Genomic DNA, 21,453 nt, shown 5'->3' with positions numbered 1-21,453 from the left:
TTCCATGATTTTCCCATTGGTGGGACACAGGAAAAGTAATTTATTTGATGCCAAGACAACCTCTTGGAAGGCTGTGCCTGCTTTAAAGGAAAGAGCAAATAATTAGTTTAAAGACACATAAGTGGGCCAAGGAAGGTATCTCACCAGAATTTCTGGCCCTAGTTGAGTACTCTACTGCCACAGTTGGCCATTGTGGAGTGAGAACTGAGCCTTGGATTTCCCAATTTTAGAAGGCCTTCCTGGTGGAGGTTGCAGTGAGTTGAGATTGCACCACTGCACTCCAGCCTGGGCAACAGAGCAAGACTCCGATTCAAAAAAAAAAAAAAGAGAGAAGGCCTCCTAACTCATTTCTGTCTTCCTTACTCAGGCTATGGAAAGTAAGGGCCAGGGGAAAAACTTCCCCTTTGCCCTCTGAAAGTTCACTGAAAAATCAACTCACAGAGGGCAGATTAATTGGAGAAAAGGCATATGAATTTATTTTAATATGCATAGCATAGGGGAATTGCAGGAGAATAATTATCCATTAACCCAATGGGGTGCAGATGCTTATATAACCTTCTTTTTAGGGGAAAGGAAGATGGGGAAGTGTGGATGATTTTAGGGGGATAGCAAATGATTTTTAGGGGAATTCAATGTGCTTGAAGAATATACTGTGGCCTGGGACCAAGTCTGTTGGGCCCACAGAGCAGATACAATGGTTTGTGGGAAAAAAAAGTCCATCTAGTGTGTTGACAGACTTTATTCTTTCTTCCTGAGATATGAGTTCAGTTAATGAAAACTCAAGGATGGGACCAGAGGTAACTGTTTTTTTTTTTTTCCCCTTTGGTATGTCCACACTTTAGGTAGATAAAGGAACTTCAGAGAACAACTTCATCCTGTGTTTTGAGAGAGACAAACGATAGAGAGTGGGGTGGGGAGTCGAGTGGGGAGGCCAGAGAGAACTTGCCTTGAGGCATCTTCTTCAGTTCAGCATGTCCATGCACCATATTTTGGGGTATTGGTTTCTGGGTCCCAATAGAGGTAATGATAGTAGAGGCATCAGATGGCTTGTTCTTAGGACCCCAAGCATGGAACAAGAAGTGCAGGGCAAATCTGAGGAGGATATTGAGGGGGTCTGGAAATCAGAGGAGAGTGGCACTGAGAAGGAATCCTTGGCAAAAATATGTGTTTAAGGATGTTCATTGCAATACTACTTATAAAAGTGAGATTGGGCCGGGCGCGGTGGCTCACGCCTGTAATCCCAGCACTCTGGGAGGCCGAGGTGGGTGAATCACGAGGTCAGGAGATCGAGACCATCCCGGCTAACACGGTGAAACCCCATCTCTACTAAAAATACAAAAAAATTAGCCAGGCGTGGTGGCAGGTGCCTGTAGTCCCAGCTACTCGGGAGGCTGAGGCAGGAGAATGGTGTGAACCCGGGAGGCGGAGCTTGCAGTGAGCTGAGATCGCACCACTGCACTCCAGCCTGGGCAACAGTGCAAGACTCTGTCTCAAAAAAAAAAAAGTGAGATTGAATAAACTTAAGTATCTGTTAGTAGGAGAATAGTTAAAAAAAGAAAAATCGAGGCCTGGCACGGTGGCTCACTCCTGTAATCCCGGCACTTTGGGAGGCCAAGGTGGGCGGATCACAAGGTCGGGAGATCGAGACCATCCTGGCTAACATGGTGAAACCCCGTCTCTACTAAAAATACAAAAAAAAATTAGCCAAGCGTTGTGGCGGGCGCCTGTAGTCGCAGCTACTCAGGGGGCTGAGGCAGGAGAATGGTGTGAACCTGGGAGGCGGAGCTTGCAGTGAGCCGAGATCGTGCCACTGCGCTCCAGCCTGGGCAACAGAGTGAGACTCCATCTCAAAAAAAAAAAAAAAGAAAAAGAAAAATCAGGCCAGGCACGGTGGCTGAGGCGGGTGGATCACCTGAGGTCAGGAATTCAAGACCAGCCCGGCCAACATGGTGAAACTCCATCTCTACTAAAAATACAAAAAATTAGCTGGGTGTGGTGGCACGTGCCTGTAATCCCAGCTACTTGGGAGGCTGAGGCAGGAGAATGCTTGAACCTGGGAAGTGGAGGTTGCAGTGAGCTGAGATTATGCCACTGCACTCCAGCCTGGGTGACAGAGCAAGATGACTCCACCTCAAAAAAAAAAAGAAAAACCAATACTGAAAACAGACATGTGTTGATGGCCTTCTCAGCATTCCTTGATTCTGGGGTGTAGAATATCTCTCCCTCCCCTGCTGAAGGTTTGAGTCTTTAAGTCTGCTGAAATAAATGGGCAATAGATAAATAAGAGAAAAGGCACACAAATGTATTAACAAGAACATGTGCATAGGGACCACACAAACTATGAGACTAAAAGAGGGCCAAATGGCTGAAGTTTCTATACCATATGGAAAGGAAGAGAGACTTGGAGCATCTCGGGGGAGGTGGCAATAGGTTATGGGAAGGAGAGGGGAGGAGATGCATGGTGAGCTAAGGTTTTCTTATTATGCAGATGAAGGCTCACAAGCAACAGCCTGCAGAAAGAGTAGAGATGTCCAGTGTGTTGACAAACTTCAGTCTTTCTTCCTGCAATATGAGTTCAGATGGCAGCTTGTGGTAAAATTTCTCCGTCATGATGGGTGCGGTGGCTCATGCCTGTTGTCCCAGCACTTTGGGAGGCTGAGGCGGGCGGATCACCTGAGGTCAGGAGTTCGAGACCAGCCTGACCAACATGTTGAAACCCCATCTCTACTAAAAATATAAAAATTAGCTGGGCGGGGTGGTGTGCTCCTGTAATCCCAGCTACTCAGGAGGCTGAGGTAGGAGAACGGCTTAAACCTGGGAGGCGGAGGTTGCAGTGAGCTGAGATTGTGCCACTGCACTCCAACCTGGGTGACAGAGTGAGACCCTGTCTAAAAGAAAAAAAAAAAGTTTCTCTATCAGACCTTTAAAAGTGTCAGAACTTCTAATCTCCTTCTCCTGAGAGATCTGGATAAGGCAGATAAAGGGGTCTCAGAGGAAGCCTGTTTGCATCCACAATTTACTTCACTAATGTAGATTTCTACTACAGATTCAAAACTCCCCACAAAAACACAGCTTTCCAGAGCTATCCTGTGTCTGCAGCCCCTCTGAATAGCCATCCCAAAATATGCCAAGGAATATTTTTGGGTGGCATATTTTGGTTTCCCACACTTCTTTACTAAAATAATGTAATTTTCATTCGGATATTCTGCCTTCTCTCACACAGCCTACTCACTTCAAGGGAAGCTAATCCAAATCTGACTCACAGGTGGCCCCTAGGTGGCCCCCACATGGCCTCAGCCAGTCAACACATTCCCAGTTCCCCGGGGCCCAGTCATTGGTGGGGATGTCAACTGAGTTGGTCCAATTAGAGTGAATTATAGGACTCTTGCTCAGAATGCTGGGAAATTCACAGGCTTGTGGGCACTCTCTCCGGATGTAGACAAAGTCCCATTGTACCCGTGGGTGCTTTTGGCTCTGTGCCAGGCTCTGCCATCTTACAACCAAAGGGGAGGGAAGCTGATACCACGGAAGGCAAAGGGGGGCAGTGGGAAAGAAAAGAGCATGTCAGATTAAGCTCTCCCCAAAGCCTGTGTTATCTTTAGACTTTACAGTTACATAAACCATTAAGTTCCCCTATTGTCTAAGCCAGATGGAGCTAGGTTCCCCACTCCCTGTAAATGGGTCTAACTAATATCGTAGCCAGGATTCTTTGAGCAGTACCATGGGCACTAAGGTAAGCTCTGTAGAATCTCATTTGATCAATTACGAAACAGGCATATGATGCAACGCCATGCAGCTGTTTAAAAATGAGATATTACATAGAAAGATTTCTTTGAGAAGTGGGAAAAAAAGCAGACAACAAATATGTAGTATAAAATCCTGTATCATCAGGGTGGGGAAATGTACATTTTAACTGAGTGATGTCTTGATGGTGAATGGGAAAGCTATTGAGAGGAGAGAAGGAGTCTGTTGTTTTCCTGGGTTATCTCAGCTTGAATCCTATCTGATGCCTGAGAGGAGAGAGGAGAGGGCACCCGCTCCTCCAGGGGAAGCCTCCAGGGGTGGGAGGGGCCCCCTAGAAGGCCTGGCTGCAGGCTTGAGTCAGAAGCCAGGGAAGGGACCTAGCCTTTGTTTTTTATTTTCCTTTTGAGATAAGAGTCTCAATCTGTTGCCCAAGCTGGAGGGCAGTGGCACGATATTGGCTCACTGCAACCTCCGCCTTCCAAGTTCACATGATTTTCCTGCCTCAGCCTCCCAAGTAGCTGGGACTATTGGTGCCCGCCACCACACCCAGCTAACCTTCTTCTTCTTTTTTTTTTTTTTTTTTGTAGAGACAGGGTTTCACCATGTTGACCAGGCTGATCTCGATCCACCTGCCTTGGCTTCCCAAAGTGCTGGGATTTTGGGTGTAAGCCACCATGCCCCGCCAGGACCTAGTCTTTGAAATGCCAAGGCAGAGAATTCGGGGAAGTGTGGGTGGTGGGGCATAGACAGAAATGACCCGTGCTTTTCACCGCAGTGGAGATCTGCTCCTCTGAGGAGAGCTGAACCCAGAACCTCTTGGTTCTATGGGGGAAGGGAACAGGCAGGCCCAGGGTCCCTGGAATGGGGGTGGAATTGACTCATTTAGAGGCTTGTCTGGCTCATTAGATTTGAGCTTCTGGTGAACAACAGTTCTGTCTTGTGAGTCCCCAGTCACCCAGGGCTACTATGGGCACTCCTAAGCTAGCACTGAATGAAAGGATGGAGGAGGCAAGGCCAAGGTGGGGATGGGGCACAGACAGGGAAAGTGGGGGCTTCACGCCTGCCCATGCCCAAAGAGGTGAGGCTCCCACCTTCTATTTTCAAGCCGGACTTCACAGCTGGAAGTTCTGCTTCCTTGAAATGCAAATGTTATTTTTAAGGAGTCTCCTGCCCAGGGAAATCTTGGTCTGCTTCACAGCTCCGTGGGAATATGCCACTTTAAAGTGTTTGAAAAGAAGAATCCACTTCTGAGACATTTGCATTTTCAGAAAGCTTTCCGTAGAGGGCCAGGCCTTGGAGCTTGTGAATGAGGCCTTTCTGTGTTTGTGGCTCCCTGTGAATAATGCAAGGGGAAGAAGAGAAAGGAGGCACTTTCCATTGCCCCCACAGCTGCAGGCCGAGGGTGCCTAGGGGCCCAGAGGGTCTGGGACGTGTGTGTTGAGTCACTTCTCCTCTGGAGGTTTCCAGGGAGCTGCTTTGCATGAGTTAAGCATGCGGCCTGATTCCAATTCCACAAGCCTCTATTCCAGGCTTTGCTGCCTCCTCTTGCCTCTAGGATACGACCTTGTGGGTCAATCCTGCAAGGGAGGCCGCTGGCCAGTGCAGGAGGACGGAGCCCAGCTGTTTGGTACACGGGGCATTTCTGTCTATGCCTCACCACCCACACCTCCCCTAATTCCCTGCGTTGGCATTCCAAAGACTAGGTCCTGGCGGGCCATGGTGGCTCACACCTGAAATCCCAGCACTTTGGGAGGCCAAGGCAGGTGGCTCGAGATCAGCCTGGTCAACATGGTGAAACCCTGTTTCTACCAAAAAAAAAAAAAAAAAAAAAAGCCAAAACGATAGTTAGCTGGGTGTGGTGGCGGGCGCTGATAGTCCCAGCCACTCAGGTGGACTCCCTTTCTTTCCATCCTTCGCACCTTAGTTGGGACTCTGTAGGGTTTGCTGGTGCTCCCTCTCTCCTCAGTTGGGACTCTGTAGGGTTTGCTGGTGCTCTCTCTCTCCTCAGTTGGGACTCCCTGTAGGATTTGCTGGTGCTCCCTCTCTCCTCAGTTGGGACTCCCTGTAGGATTTCCTGGTGCTCCCCTCTCTCCCAAGTTGGGACTCCCTGTAGGGTTTGCTGGTGCTCCCTTTGGCCCATCCCTGGATCATCTTTGCTCTGAAGAGGCAGAGAGAGCCTTGAGAAGGAAGGGCACCTTAACACCCGACCTACAAAAGGCTTTGACCCCCATTACAAGAGCCCACTGAAGGTCCTTGGCTTACCCCAGGGGGCTACCTTGAGAGGTCACTGTGAGAAAGATGGAAGTGTTTGGCCAACACCTCTCCCCCATTCTCACCCTCTACAAACACACAGTCCTCCCAGTGCTCCCACTGTGGCCTGTGTCAGCCTCTTGGTGGGTGTCCTTTTGGAAGGATGGAGACCAGCAGAGTACCAGAGGAGCCCCACGATGCCACCAGGTTGCTGTCCCAATCTTGCACCTGGGATTGCAGAGCTGAGGGGTCCAGATGGGCAGCTTCCGTCCCCCAGGATGCCCCTCAAAGCCAGGAACACACACAGTGTTACTGGAAAAAGGAGACTTACTCCAGACCCCAAGAGCGAGTTCTTGGATTTCATGTGGGAAAGAGGGTGAGTCGCAGTGCATAGCAAAGATAAAACAGTTTATTAGAAACTACTCTATTACAGAATAGGGTGTCCTCAGAAAGCAAGAGGAGGAATTCCTCTAACTGAAACATAGCACTTGCTTACATGGGATGTTAAGGCTAAGAATAGTAGACTTTATAAACAAAGGCTTATGATCAGCTTGTGACAGGCTATTAGCATTGTTATTTTCCTATGTAACTATTGATTTCAGCAAGAATTTATGAGAGTACTATTACCTTTAAAGTGAAACTTATTCTCAAATGAAGGATGCTTTGTTCTTTAAATATCAGGACGTTTTCAGACGTTCTGGGTCTCTAGTTAGCATCATTAACCCCTTCTTTGAGCTACAAACATCTTGTGATGAAGGGTGTCTAACCCCCAAGGAATGTAACCCAGCAAGTTTGGCTTTATCTGGCCTTTATTCGAGGTGCAGTCACCCTGGTTAAGATGTCCCTGACAATAGGACACCAGGTGAGTTGATTCTAAGGCCAGCCTATAGCCTAGACCAAGAAATGATCCTTCAGTGAGCTGATCATGCCCCTGCTGCACTCCAACCTGGGTGACAGAGTGAGACCCTCAAAAAAAAAAAAAAAAGAAATTACCCTTTATTTTATGTCTGATATTAACTAACCAAAAAAGTTAATAAAATAGACAGCAAATTAGCCAAGATAAAATGCCAGTACAATTAAAAACATGCCTTCGAGACTGAGGTGGGCAGATCATCTGAGGTCAGGAGTCCAAGACCAGACTGACCAACACGGTGAAGCCCCGTCTCTACTGAAAATACAAAATTAGCCAGGCATGGTGGCACATGCCCGTAATCCCAGCTACTTGGGAGGCTGAGGCAGGAGAATCGCTTGAACCTGGGAGGTGGAGATTGCGGTGAGCCGAGGTTGTGCCATTGCACTCCAGCCTGGGCAACAGGAGTGAAACTCCTTCTCAAAAGAAAAAAAAAAAAATCTAAAAACTGGAACCAATCTGAATGTCCATTAACAGGTGAGTAGATAAACACGCTATGGCATATTCACACAATGAAATACTTCTCAGAAATAAAGAGGAATAAACTATTGATATGTATAGAAATATGATTTAGGTTTAAAATATTATGATGAGCAAAAGAAGCCAGGTAAAAAAAGTCCAAACTGATTGAGTCCATTTATGTTAGTTTCTAGAACATGCAAAATCATGTGTCTATGCGTCTGTCGTGACAGCAATCAAATCAGTCATTGCCTTGGGGGAAGGGGGATGGATACTCAAGAGGGCGCTGGTAGGTGGGGAGACTCGGTGGTGAGTCTTGGAGGTCTGGTGAAGCAGGGAGGAGAAGGGGTAAGTCTGAGGACAGAAGAGAAGCGTCTTGGGGAATAAAATGTGATTTGATCCCTGGCAGCATCAAGGCCCACTTGGAGCCCATGGTCATGAATTTCAAGCGAGTCTGGCCTGCACGGCTGAGCTTCCCAAAGTTTAGCTGCACAAGTCCAAGTGCGCAGGAGGCAGAGAACTGGATTTGCCCCAGGGTTGTGGTTTTGCCAAATGAATGGGATGAAGGGAGATGGGCAAGGGAGTTGGAAGTTTCTTTCACCAAATTCATTGTTAATTTCATCAGAACAAAACGATTCTTTTGCTTGTTCCCACAGAGAAAGCAACATCCCCAAATACATATGAAACACCGATCACTAAAGGCACAAAACAGACACCACATGATCCTCTATTCCACTTCTCTTAGGCAGCTCTGTTCAGCTACGGGGACTCACCTAGTTCCCTGGCAGTAGCCCAAGTCTCTTTCAGCAACAGCAGCCTTGGGAATCTTCTGTACATAATACCTTCCTGAGGTTGGTTTATCAGCACATTAAAAGCACCTCCTACCAGACACACAGAATGGAGCCCCATTAGAAAAAAACAACTAAACTCTAATGTCATCCTGCAGCAGACTGCAATCCACACACCAGTGTCCAGGGTATAATCAGATTCTCCAGAATATGGTATACACAGTCCATTCTTGACTGCTGGCAGTGGCAGGCAGGAGAAGGGCAGAACAGAGGAGGAGAAAGGTTTAAAGGAGAACTCATTCTCGAAAGGTGAGCTTCTTCTGGAGCTGGTCAGCCCAGACCCTTCATCCTGACCCCAATGGGAGACAAGTGGGCTTCTCCATTCATCTCCTTGATGCACTCCTCAGATGAGATCAGACACCCGCAGACCTGAACAGAACTCTTCTTTTTAAATTCTCAACCTCGAGGCCCCTCCTGGAGGAGTCTGAGCCTGGATCTCTCGCTCAGCCCTGCCGCTGGGACCAACCTGGCTCTCTGCCTTGGACACTTTCCTTCTTGCCGCTGGTGATTGGCACCTCCTTTCCTCCAGACTCCCAACAAACAGGCACCTCCAGCTCCTCTGTCCTCCTCATTCGCTAGCTCGCAGCTCAGTTCCTCCTGGCTTAGGACCGGAATGCATCTTGGGACATTGGCAAGGGCACTTTTCCAGTTCAAATCTCTGCTTCGACCCCCTGTGACTGGCTGAGGTGTAATAAGTATATGCTGTGCTTGCACATACAGAGGGGGAGCTGCCTGGGGATGCAGAGGCTTCCTGAGTTTCCCAGCGAAGCCAGAGCCTGTAATAGCAGCCTGAAGTGCTGTCCTTCCTCTGATGGGTCATTGGTGGCTGCAGGCCTGATTGACTCCAACATGGCCCTGAGCCTGGGGCCTTGGCAGGACAGGCTGCATGGCAGGTGTCCCCTGAGTCTCATGGCTGCCTTTACCTGGCAGTTTGGTTCCCTGGATCCTGGTTATTTACTTACTCTGTGACTGCGGGATGGCCTGGGTGCCAGGCTTCATGGCCAGTGGGAGGGTGGCTGTCCTCAAGGGTGGGGGTGGGGAGGATGGAGACCAGGTTGTATCTGAAAAGCCAAGGACCTCTCATCTGGTCCTGTGTCCCTGGCACAGTGGACTGGACAGACCAGACAGGCAGCTGCAGGAGGATGGGGCTTCCTGGACTTTCTTCTGCACTTCGATGGATCACTATACAGGGACCAACCTATCTCAAGAATAACCAACTGGACCGGGTGCGGAGGCTCCCAGTACTTTGGGAGGCTGAGGTGGGCAGATCACTTGAAGTCAGAAGTTCGAGACCAGCCTGGCCAAAATGGTGAAACCCCGTCTCTACTAAAAATACAAAAATTAGCCAGATGTGGTGGCGTATGCTTGTAATCCCAGCTACTCGGGAGGCTGAGGCAGGAGAATTGCTTGAACCCGGGAGGTGGAGGTTGCAGTGAGCCAAGATTGAGCCTGGGCGACAGAGCAAGACTGCCTCAAATAAATAAATAATAATAACATAATAACCAATTGATTGATGGCTTTCTTTTTCTTTTCTTTTTTTTTTTTTTTTTGAGACAGGGTCTCCTTTTGTCACCCAGGCTGGATTGCAGTGGCACGATCTCAGCTTACTGCAGCCTTGACCTCCCAGGCTCAAGTGACCCTCCCACCTCAGCCACCCAAATAGCTGGGACTACAGGTGCTAATTTTTGTATTTTTTTTTTTTTTTTTTTAGAAAAATACAAAATATGAGTTTTCGCCATGCTGCCCAGACTGGTCTCCAATTCCTGGGCTCAAGTCATCTGCCTGCCTTGGCCTCCCAAAACGCTGGGATTACAGGCGTGAGCCACTGCACCAGGCCAGTTGATGGTCTTGAGACAATGTTCAGAGCCAGGGTCTGAGCTCAGCCTGGTGAAGATGCTAGACTCCGCTGGAGCTTAGACAATAATACCTCAAAATGAAGGCCTCAGAAGGGAAAGTTTTCTGTGATCTTCTCCTGCCCTCCTATCTCTCAGTCCCATCTCCCCCAAGGCTAGCCATACAAACTCAATCCTTTCCCAAGATGCCATAGAAACAAGAACCCATTCTCCCCAGAGCTAGTCAGAAAACCTAAAAGTATTACTTGAATTTTCCCCCAGCCTTGTGTAAGAACTGGTCATAACAAAATGATCTGACCTACCTTGTTTGCAGTCAGTCATAAGACCCCCATTCCAGAGAAGATCTTGCCCCATGCCCCAGAGGAAGGAATGCTGCTCAGAGAGGCCAAGAAGAATCTAGACAGACAGGCCTTGCTGGGTTCCCCACATAGTCTATTAGCATTAGATCCGACCCTTTTGTCCAGTCCTATTTCTACAAGGCTGTCCATCTTTGTTGAAACTCAGCATGAAGACAATTTCCTCTGTACCTCTGGGTCTTCATTCTGAAGGCTCCCATGTGTACACATAAATGTGTATGCCTTTCTCCTATTAATCAATTTGCCTCATATGAGTTTTCAGTGAACCTTTAGAGGACAAAGGGCCTTGGCCCCTATAACTTGCAGGCTCAGCTACAGCCAGGCTGTCCCCAAACTCACAGCCACAGCAGTCTTAGTTATTGCATGGTGATTGATAGGAAATATACCTGCTCACTCTTCTTTCCAGCTCTAAACTTCCCTCTTGAAAGCCCCTATCAGGGGCTGTTGCTTGAAATTGACTGTACTTAAAATAGTCCTCTCCAGTGATCACATTTATACTCACTCTGAATATCACACTCACTCATTATACCACACTCTGAATACAATGGCCTAAGCCAAATCTTAATGTATCCCAAAGTGCTCCCGAGGGTGACAGGTCTACTCATTCATGAGTCTGCAATGTGCTGGGAAGGATTTGAGAAGAAAAAACCTGCTCTCTGCCTCCAGGACCTAACCACAGAGTAGCGGATGTGTCAACAGAACTGCACTCGGCAGGATGAAGACAGGGACTCCGGCATGTGGTCGTTTAGCATGTGCAGTTTCCACTCTTCAAGAGGGATCCCTATGGCCCACGACAGGCAACGTGAGCCACAATGCAAGGCCAGTGTGGGAGAGATGAGCCCAGGTGACAGTGACTGTCCGGGAGGATGCTCTTGGGGTTTTGGTGGGATGGTTCTTTATTGTGTGGTCTGTCTTGTGCATTGCATTCTTGGCCTTCACTACTAACAGCCCACAGCATCCCCCCGTCACTGTGACAACCAGCAGCGCCCCACACATTTCCCCGGGGATGGAAGGCTAGTTTTCACCACTGCCCGGGGGATCCAACTGCCAGGATCTGCTGCAAGTCTGCCGCTTGAGGCAGCTGGGAGTTCTCTCTCCTGGCCACTTGAGCATTCATTCTGGTGAGGTGGTGGTGGTGGAGGAAAACGGGGAGAAGCAGAGGGAGAGCACAGGTCCTGGATGCAGACCCACAGCCAACTGGAGGGAGCATGTGCTGTTTTTAGCTGCCCAGCGTCCATTCCCATCTCTTTTGGTAACAGGTTACCCACACTGCAGTTGGAGAATCATTTTCTTCCCTGCTCAGTGCTCACTGTTTCTGTGGATTTTATCCTCATGTTCCAAAGGAGGCTGTGCAGCTCCAGCCTGGCCAATCAGCCCCCTGCATTTTCCTGGGCACAGTGATGGGTACCAGGAGGGACACAGGACCTAGTCAGAGCTGTGATGCCGTTTGCTGTGGGGAGACAGGCCGGCTCACCCTCTCTGCTAGACTTGATCTCTGTAGGCTGGGAGCTGTTGCTGCTGTAGCTAGAATGGAACTAACTCTGCTACAGAGAGAGGGAAATGGCCTGTGCCCCTGGAGCAAGCCACATCTGAACCAGAACTCTCTCCTGACTTTTATAGGAGCTAATACATTGTCATTTTGCTGAAGCCTAGTTTGGGTTAGGTTGTCCAACATTTACAACAAAGGGGGACCTCAATATGCCAGAAAAAGGAAGTGTCTTCAGTCCAGAAGCTGCAGCCATGGAGTCCCCAGTCCCTTCCACCATGTCTATAGGTCCCTTCATTGTGACCTGCAGGACAGGACCACAACACGACCCCACGCAACTCCCACACCTGTTTCAGAAAGGAAATCTTGGGACTGAGGGGTGGGGAATGGGCTCCAGCCTGGCCCATCCTGCCCAATCCCACCAGTGCTGTTGTGGGTAAACCAGCTCCCTGCCTTCCCAGTGGCTGCCCTGCTGGGTCCCGGTCTAACTAATTCTTAGAGTCATAGGAGGTCACCTGGGCATGGGTCTGTGGATGCCTCACAGGCATTCAGCATTGTCCTCCCTCCACCCCTACACCATATGCCGCTGTCACCGTTCCAGTGCATGCGGGCTGACTCCTAAACCTCGCATCTGCACTTCTTTGCCTGGGGGCTTCCTCTCCAGAAGGGGACAAAAGTGTGGAGGAATTAACCACCTCCCTCCTCGCAGCCTTTCTCCAAGACCAACAGGTTACAAATGCCTCAGCTCCCTGTCAGGTGGGATGACTATGCTGTGTGGTGTGTGTTCTCCATTCTCCCATCCCACGACGCCCCAGCAGGATCAGGCTTCAGCTGCCCTCAATGGCCACTGCATTAGGACTCACTAGTACTGGCTGTCCTCCCTTCTTTGGTGGTTCCTTTTTTTTATTTTTATTTTTTGAGACAGGGTCTTGCTATGTCGTCCAGGCTGGAGTGCAGCGGTGCAATCATAGCTCACTGCAGCCTTGACCTCCTGGGCTTAAGCCATCCTCCTGTCTTGGCCTCCCAAAGTCTTGGAATTATAGGCATGAGCCACCAGGCCCAGCCTCCTTCCCTCGTTGACACTCCTCTCCCCTATTGGTGTTTGCTGGGATCACCTTGAACTAAGATTTCGAGTCGCCTGTTCAGGAGCTAGAGGTAGAATCGCACCAGGCACTGGCTGGGTGTAGCCACATCACTAGCACTAAACACAAGGCTGCATGGCAGGCTGCTCCCCATCACAGGTGACCCTAAAAGAAGCTGTTTCTAGAGACAGTGTTCCTGGGCACAGGGCCTCTGTCCTCTGGGGTGCAGGCCTGGAGGCGAACCGGCACATTCCTCCTATTCCCAGTAACTGGGATTACCCTGGGACAGAGGTGCAGATGACTAACTACGTTAGCTATTGAGTTAAGCTTTATAATCCCTTCCTTTAGAGTGAGAAAATCTAAAGCAAACACTGTGTTCTGTGAGTGTGTGCAGAGAAAGCTGCTCCACCGGGGGTCTGTGGCCCTGAACAGGAATGACAGGCACCAGTTCTGCTTGACCTGTGGCCCAAAAGGTCACTGGGGCCCCCAGACCTCCCTTCCTAGTCATTTGCCAAGTCCAACTTTTATGTCTCTAAGTAAAACATGCTAAAGAAACAGAACTCGTTTTTTTTTTCTTTTTTTAAATTTTGGTGACAAGAGAGGTCCCTTTGATGGAAACTGGATCTGTAAGAAAAACAAGGACAGAGCCAATCAGCTTAGACAATACCCCGTGTGACCTGGAATCCTGGTGGCTTTCCAGTTTCACAGCCTCACAGGTGAGGCTTCAGCAGCTGTGATCCTTCCGTGGAGAAATAAATTATTTAGGATTCAAATTTCTTCCATTCCTTGCACCCACTCCTTCTTTCAGCCACACACCTCAGGCTGTAATGCCTTTTGCCAGGCGCCTGGCCAGGCTTGGCTCCTGCTCAGCTCATCGGTGCCAGCGCCTTCCCCGGGGGCCCCTGCAGCTATGATGGAGTCTCACTCCCCAAAAGCTACACTGCAGTGGTTTGACCACATTCAACGCCCAAAATGGCTGGGAAAGAAGTCCTTTGCTTTTAGGGCCTCACCTTCAGCTGAGGAAGATGCCAAGGGAGAGGTTCACCAAACTTTAGGAAAGAAAATTCTAGAAGCATCTTTCCCCAAAAAGGAAAGATGTCACTGTCGTCAGATGGTTCTTCACTCTCTGGACAGGGAAGGACATCAAACTGCCTGTTGATTAAGAGCTGAGCCTACAAGATCAGCACGACTTAATGTACCCCCACGATGCACCTCCATCGCCCTCCCCTACAGTGACTCTCATACAGGTGCCCGGGCAGCTTTCATTGGCTAAAGTTCTTCCCTGGCCAGTTAAAAAGTAAGCTAATTTTCTTTTCTTTTTCTTTCTTTCTTTTTTTTTTTTGAGACAGAGTTTCGCTGTTGTTGCCCAGGCTGGAGTGCAATGGTGCGATCTCGGCTCACTGCAACCTCCACCTCTTGGGTGCACACCATTCTCCTGCCTCAGCCTCCCGAGTAGCTGGGACTACAGGTGCCCGCCACCACGCCCGGCTATTTTTTTTTGTATTTTTAGTAGAGACGGGGTTTCACCGTGTTGGCCAGGATGGTCTTGATCTCCTGACCTTGTGATCTGCCTGCCTCGGCCTTCCAAACTGCTGGGATTACAGGCGTGAGCCACCACACCCGGCCTTTTTTTTTTTTTTTTTTCTTGAGACAGGGTCTCATGAGTTCTGTCACCCAGGCTGGAGTGCAGTGGTGCAATTATAGCTCATTGCAACCTCCAACTGCTGAGCTCATGCAATCCTTCCACCTCAGCCTCCCAAATAGCTGGGATTACAGGTGTGTACGACCATGCCTGGCTAATTTTTTAATCTTTTTTTCTTCTTCTTTCTCTTTTTTTTTTTTTTTGTAGAGACAAGGTCTTGGTATGTTACCCAGGCTGGTCTCAAACTCCCAGGCTCAAGTTATCCCCCTGCCTGGGCCTCCCAAAGGTCTAGGATTACAGGTTTGAGCCACTATTCCCAGCCAAAAAGTAAGCAAATTTAAAGAAAAATATTAAGTGATTTTACAGGTATCAAAAGTCAGTAAAATTAGGGGAACACTGATTTAACAAATGGTAATGATTATCATGATGATGATAATGGTGTTGATGACAACTACCTCCAAGGGTGATGGTTGTAAAGATTAATTGAAGGGATGTGCAGAATTGCCAGGTGCAGGGCCTGGTGATAGAGGTAGGTGGTGGTGGTGATGGTGATGGTGATGTTGATGGTGATGGTGATGATGGTGATGATGATGATGGTGATGATGGTGATGGTGAGGATGATGATGGTGATGATGATGGTGATGATGGTGGTGGTGATGATGGTGGTGATGATGGTGGTGGTGGTGATGGTGGTGGTGGTGATGATGGTGGTGATGGTGGTGGTGGTGATGATGGTGGTGGTGGTGGTGGTGGTGATGGTGGTGATTGTGGTGGTGGTGGTGATGATGCTGATACTGGTGGTGGTGGTGATGATGGTGGTGGTGATGGTGGTGATGATGGTGGTGGTGGTGATGGTGATGATGGTGATGGTGATGATGGTGATGATGATGGTGGTGATGGTGGTGGTGATGGTGATGATGATGGTGATGGTGATGATGGTAATGATGATGGTGGTGATGGTGGTGGTGATGGTGATGGTGATGATGGTGGTGATGATGGTGATGGTGAAGATGGTGATGGTGATGATGATGGTGATGATGGTGATGGTGATGGTGATGGTGGTGGTGGTGATGATGATGGTGGTGGTGATGATGGTGATGGTGATGAGGATGGTGATGGTGATGATGGTGGTGGTGATGATGGTGATGGTGGTGGTGGTGATGATGATGGTGATGATGGTGATGGTGATGATGGTGGTGATGATGGTGAGGATGGTGATGAGGATGGTGATGGTGATGAGGATGATGGTGATAATGGTGATGGTGCTGACAGTGGTGGTAGTAGTGGTGATGTAGCTATGTTGAGTGCTTATCCTGTGCCAGGAACTGTGCTAAGTGTTTTACATGCATTTTTTCCACTCAATGCCCCCAACAATCCAATGAGATCTGTGCTATGATTATCTCCATTTAACGAAAAGAAAATGAGACATCAGGAGTTAGGGAACCTGCCCCAGGCCTCAGAAATACTGGGTATTGAAGAGGCCTCTGACCTCAAGCCTGCCTGCCTCCAGAACTCCAGCTCACAACCAGTAGGTTCTGCTGCAAGGAATTTTGAAGAGAAAATGCTTTAACTCGGGTGCATTTGTCATGTTGCCAGTGGCCAGCATCCACCCATCCCTGACACTGGGTCCTGTGCTCAGCACTTCCACACATCCCCTCAGTCAATCCTCAAAACCATTGCCTGTGGAGGTAGTTATTATTGTCCCCACTAGACATGTCACTGTCAGAGAAATTAAGAAACGTGTCTCTAACACCCAGCTATCAGGCAGCAGAGTCAAGAAAGGAGCCGGCAGCTCTAACTCCAAAGCTGGCATCCTTCCCACCACCTCCATGTTGACAACAGCAACGGGACCCCCCAGCAGTGAGCTCTGTCCTCTAACACCTTATCTCACCTCTCCCAACAGGCTCAAGAGGAAGGTACTGTCATTTTCCCTATTTACAGATGAGGAAACTGAGGTTCTTGCCACTCAGGAAACGCCTCAGGAAATAGCATAGCAGCTAAGGAACTACTATGTCCTCTGCCACAGACATGGGACATGGTATCACAGAGCACATGAGGGGATAGTGAGCTCTCCCTGGAGTTTACCTTCTGGACTTGGCTTTTGAGATATTCTGAACATCTTCTCCCAGCGCCATCACCTATCAACTCCTGGGGCTGGTGGAGGTCTGGAAGTGGGTTGAAATGTTTCTCATTATCCCCATGCTATCATCCCCACTGTCACTTATTAAGCATTTGCTAAGTGTGGACATGGCAAGGGGATCATCGTGGCAGTTCTTGGCACCCCACCCAGACCTTCACACCTCACACCCAATGTCTTCTTCAAGCCTCACAATAACCCTACAAGGTAGGTTCTATCATTTCACTCCACTGGGAGAGAGGAACCTTGGGAAATAATATATTACGCCCACTGCAAAGGCAAGGAAAACAGACGATTATCCCCTTTTTGGGCTGGTGCATCCACTGCCCAACTCCTGTGAGTTGTGAATGTGCTGCTAATAGCTCAGAGCTGCCCCTCCTCTAGGGAAGCACCCTCAGCCCAAAGGGAGCTGCTCTTTCCACAAAGACATGCAGTCCCTACCCAACACTCAGAGCCAAAGCACTGACAAGGAGGAGCACCAGAGGGCAAGTCTCTCCCCTCTGCTGAGACTAACTCTGTGTCATCATTCTTGTTCCAGGGCTCCCACAGGGTCAAGCTGAGGTCTGGCCTCCTGCCTCTCAGCTCCTTCCCTTGCCTCTTCTTGCCTCCCTCACTCCCTCACTCCCTGAGAGCACCTCCTCAATAAACCTGTCCATTCAACCCCAGTCTCAGGCTCTGCTTCCAGGGATGAGGGAAGATGGCTGCATGAGCCATGCCCCTTGCCCTCAGGGGTCTTGCAGGACAGATGGGAGACAGGCCACAGGCAAACGACAGGATCATCCACAACACAGGAGGCACAGGTGGAGAGGACAGGGGTTGAGAAGATGGAAGACGTCATTGAAGTTGGGAAGATGGAGAAAGGTTTCATGGAAGAAGGGGGCTTTATGGGTGATGGACTGGTAGGACTGGGTAGGAGACAAGCTTTCCAGGCAGGGAGAAAGTTCCAAGAAAGGTCCGAGATGGGTAGAAACCTTTGCCCCCATCCCTCCCATTTCCTCTTGTCCAGGGTCCATGACCAGGGACACCATCCCGGGGCAGAGGAGGTGGGGGCTCTGTTTAGATGATTGTAATAATGAGTCTAGCGTCATCTGAGAGCATCAGGTCTTCCCTAGAGGGCCATGCCGGCTGACCCTGAGGCCAGGAGGGAGTCACTCCACTGGCAAGCTTCCCTTGAGAGGCCGGGGCTTGGTCCACCTGAAGAGACCACCTCCATTCGAAGGGACAGAGCGCTCAACATACCTGCCAGACTGTGGGCCTAGGGGCTTGTTCACAAGGATTCAGTGATGTAGTAGGCAGCTCCTAGAGCCCCCAGAGCCACAGCCACAGTTCCGAGGGCTTGGAGGACACGCGTTACGATGACTGGAGGGTTTTCTTGAAGATTTTCTGTAGAGCAAAGCAGAAGTGGGGGTGGTGGGAAGCTGGGCTTCAGTGCCTCTCTACGAACAGGAGAAAGTGGAAATTATGTGGCCCCCTCAGGATTGCAGGAATACCCATCTTCCCCCTCTCCAAACTCCTCTTAGGAGAGCATTTAATTCTTCCCATCCTTCCAACAAGTCCCTACTGAAAGACCCCTGAGGATCGGAGGGTGAGCTGGCCTGGGATGCTAGCTGCCCTGAACACTCAGAAGGGGACCAGGTTAGGAAGGTGGTCAAGTCTGCTGTGAGCCAGGCCTTGTGCTAAATACCTCACACCCAGTGTCTTCTTCCAGCCTCACAACAACCCTATGAGGTAAGTTCTATCACTTCACTCCATTGAGAGAAAGGAACTTGGGAAATAATATATTACACCCACACAAAGGCAAGGAAAACATGACTAAGGCAATAATTGTGAGGAGGGCATTCAAAAAATGCAATACCCGTTTTGATAAAAATCCTACAAAAATAGGGATTCTTGTTTAATGTGAATGTGGATTGAAAGCCAAGAGCCAACATTACACTCCATTGAGAAAAGCATGCCAGTGCTAAAATTGGAGCAGAATTAAAACTACATGTCTTGCCCTGGCCAGATATGGACCCTGTCTCTCCCTGCTCACTTTCCTGATTCTGAGCCTCACGCTTGCCTTTTCCTGCACCCAGATTGCTCCCGCTTTTCATCTTAAGCCAGAGAGGACTTCAAGATCCTTCTGGACTCGGCTCACATGCTGTTGACAGGAACCTTTCAGAGGTTCCTGTTGGAGCCTGTTCCTGTTGGAACCTTTCAGAGGTTCCTGTTGGAGCCTCTCCTAGAGGACACAAGGCTCTTTGCATCTTGCATCTTGGTTTCTAAATGCATGGGTCTTAGCTCTCCATGTCGACTGCAACAATTTTAGGGGTAAAGTTCCCTGTTCTGGTTTCCCTCACAGTGCCCCATGTCCTCTGCATAGTAAGTTTCCCTCAATAACACTTGCTGGTTTTAAAACGATATGAACCCATGGCACGATTTGGCCATGGATGGATGGAAGTACTAAGCGTGTGGGCAGGGTGTGGCTAACGGTGGCAGGCAGACCTTTCCTTGACGGAGCTTACTGGGTGGTGGAGTATTTTTGGCTCCAAGCGTGTTCTCCCCACACGCCCCGGTATCTATTTACTTATCTCCATGTGTAGGAGAGATGGAGTTTTTCAGCTCCAGAAAGGAGAGGGGATTGGGTAGGGAAGAGGCTGGGAAGAGGAACAGGACAAGGATGGGGGTTGGGGGGCCTCAGTTCCTGGGGTGGGGGTGTGAGGTCGCCAAGTGGAAGGGCCTCTTCCATTGAGATCTGTGAGGCCCTCAGGTGGGGCAGATGGCGACCCCTCTCCCAGCCCATGCATGTAACCTAGCAGCGCCCAAACGTGGGAACATCTCCAGTCTGTTCCCTGCATGGATGGGGTCTTCCTATGAGGGCGGTGGCAGCCATGACACTGCTCCTGGTGGCTTTTTGGGAAGAGGAAGGAAGGACAGATACTATGGGTGATGTCATGGGGGCCGCCACCAACAGACCAGCCTGGGGGCAGATGTTCCCTGTGGAGACCCCCAGAAAGAGCCCAGCACAGTCTGAAGGGGGCTGACGTCTTGCTATTGTGTGGAGGAGGCATATGAGTTACAAGTAGTTTTTTATCATTAAATTCTGGGCGACATTCGTAGGCAGATCAGGAACCTAAGGCCCCTGCCTATGACACAGGCCACTGAGGGCCCACGGAGGTGCATGGCCAAACAGTGTTTAAACACAAAGCTCCTGAGCGACTCTGTGAAGGGCTGAGGGGGAGAGTGTTCTGAGGAGGGGAGGGCATCTCTGGAGAAAAGAAAAAGGAAGCCCCTGAGGAGGAATCCCAGTGAGGAAGAAAACTGGCACCTCTCTGTACAGGCGGGGTGGGTACCCCGGGGGTGGGGCCGGTCAGAAAGGGCCCTGCCTGCCAACGTCCAGGAAGTGGGCAAAGCAAAGAGGGAAAGAAAGGCTTTCCTTCGGCCTGGGATTCCCAAGAGGAAGTGATACATGATTGCTAATAAGGTCTGGGGGCAGAGCCTGGCCCTGGGGACTGTGTGCCCCGAGGCTCCAGCCCCTCGCGCTTGGAACCTGTAGAAGGTGAGCAGGTTGGGGAGTCCTCTCCCTGGCGCCATCTGCCAGTCCCGAGGCAGAAGGACATCGAAGATGCGGCTATGGCATAGCCCCAGACGACGCCAGCAAGCGGAGCTGCAGGGGCAAGTGGCACAGGAGCAGGAATGCGGGCCGGCGCGAATCAGAGGCCCTGTGGGGACAGAAGGAGAGAGGTGAGGGAGGCACCTGCCCTGGGAGGCTGGGGCGGGGGAGTCTGGAACACAGTCTGAGAAGGCCCCCCACAACGGCAGCAGCTGCAGGATTACCAGGGCGAACGCTGGATTTTTTCCAAGGCATCATTGAGGATTTGGGACTGAACTACCTAAGGAAGGCAGTTCTCCCACAAAATGTTCTCTAACCAAACAGAAGAGAAGACTGACCGCATGGGAAAATGGCTGTTTTATACTGGTGCTACCTGGGAGTAGCAACAGCGACGACAACAACGATGATGATGATGGAGGTGGTGCTGATGGTGCCATGGCTTACACCTTCAGGATGCTTTGCACTTAGCATGCTCATCTCATTTAATTTCACAGTAATCCTGTAAAGGGGATACTGCTGGTCTTGTTTTACAAATAAGGAAACTGAGGCTCAGCTAATTTAAGGGATATGCCCTTTTGGGGAGTAGATTACAGAAGTTGGCTTTCTCAACTCAGGCTTTCTCACGTTTAATTCAGTGAAAATGGAATTTCAGGTGACTGCTCACCTCAGGAGAGGCTGCACTGACATTCCTGGAATTGGAGCTGCCACGTTCCATTGATCTAGAGCATTCTGATCCATCCAGAAGACAACCACAGCTCTAGTTTCCAGTCCCGATCCTATTTTCTGTTTCTGTCCTCCTCTGGTATGGATCCCAGCAGAATGTAGATGATGCCCTCTGTGGTTGGGCAAGATAATTTCTGGCTGGATTATTCCCTCCTGTTTCCTATCTGTAGCCCTGCGTCTTCTTGACAGAGCTACAGATTCTTCTGACCCTAAGCTGCATGAAACAGGTGGTCAACCTGGCAGATTCAATACACTTTCTGCTTAGACTTGCCCACGACACGTACTTTCCCGGAATGAGGAGAGGGGATTCTAAAGGCAAGACTTGTCTTTTTTTTTAATTACAAAAAAGTTTTTAAATTGAGATATCATTC

At 49.7% G+C, this 21,453-nt stretch overlaps 1 protein-coding gene across 14 annotated transcripts in view; it reads right to left on the bottom strand.

The window, feature by feature from the left end:
* Positions 1-724: 724 nt before the first annotated feature.
* SPATA3 (spermatogenesis associated 3) overlaps positions 725-21,453 on the bottom strand; it is a 23,989-nt gene continuing 3,260 nt past the window's right edge. Inside the window, exons 2-6 of one of the 14 annotated variants that reach the window (XR_001738628.2) lie at positions 20,297-20,468; positions 18,007-18,150; positions 8,137-8,244; positions 5,664-5,902; positions 4,836-5,077 (exon numbers count right to left, since the gene is read on the bottom strand). Coding sequence is in view for 5 of the 14 variants with exons in the window: in XM_047443398.1 (XP_047299354.1) it covers positions 18,035-18,203; positions 20,297-20,468 (341 nt within the window). In the remaining 9 variants the exon portion in view is untranslated. Of the gene's footprint in view, positions 876-895; positions 1,115-4,835; positions 5,078-5,663; positions 5,903-6,381; positions 6,961-8,136; positions 8,245-12,793; positions 13,613-13,998; positions 14,161-16,715; positions 16,796-18,006; positions 18,204-20,296; positions 20,469-21,453 lie in introns of those variants that run through there. The other 13 variants (XR_001738627.3, XR_922856.3, XR_007069642.1 and 10 more) reach the window with 13 other exon arrangements.

This window comes from Homo sapiens, chromosome 2 (genome assembly GCF_000001405.40).
Source record: "Homo sapiens chromosome 2, GRCh38.p14 Primary Assembly".
Taxonomy (NCBI): domain Eukaryota; kingdom Metazoa; phylum Chordata; class Mammalia; order Primates; family Hominidae; genus Homo; species Homo sapiens.
Note: the sequence above shows the minus strand (reverse complement) of the source record. Positions and strands in the feature narration are given on the sequence as shown.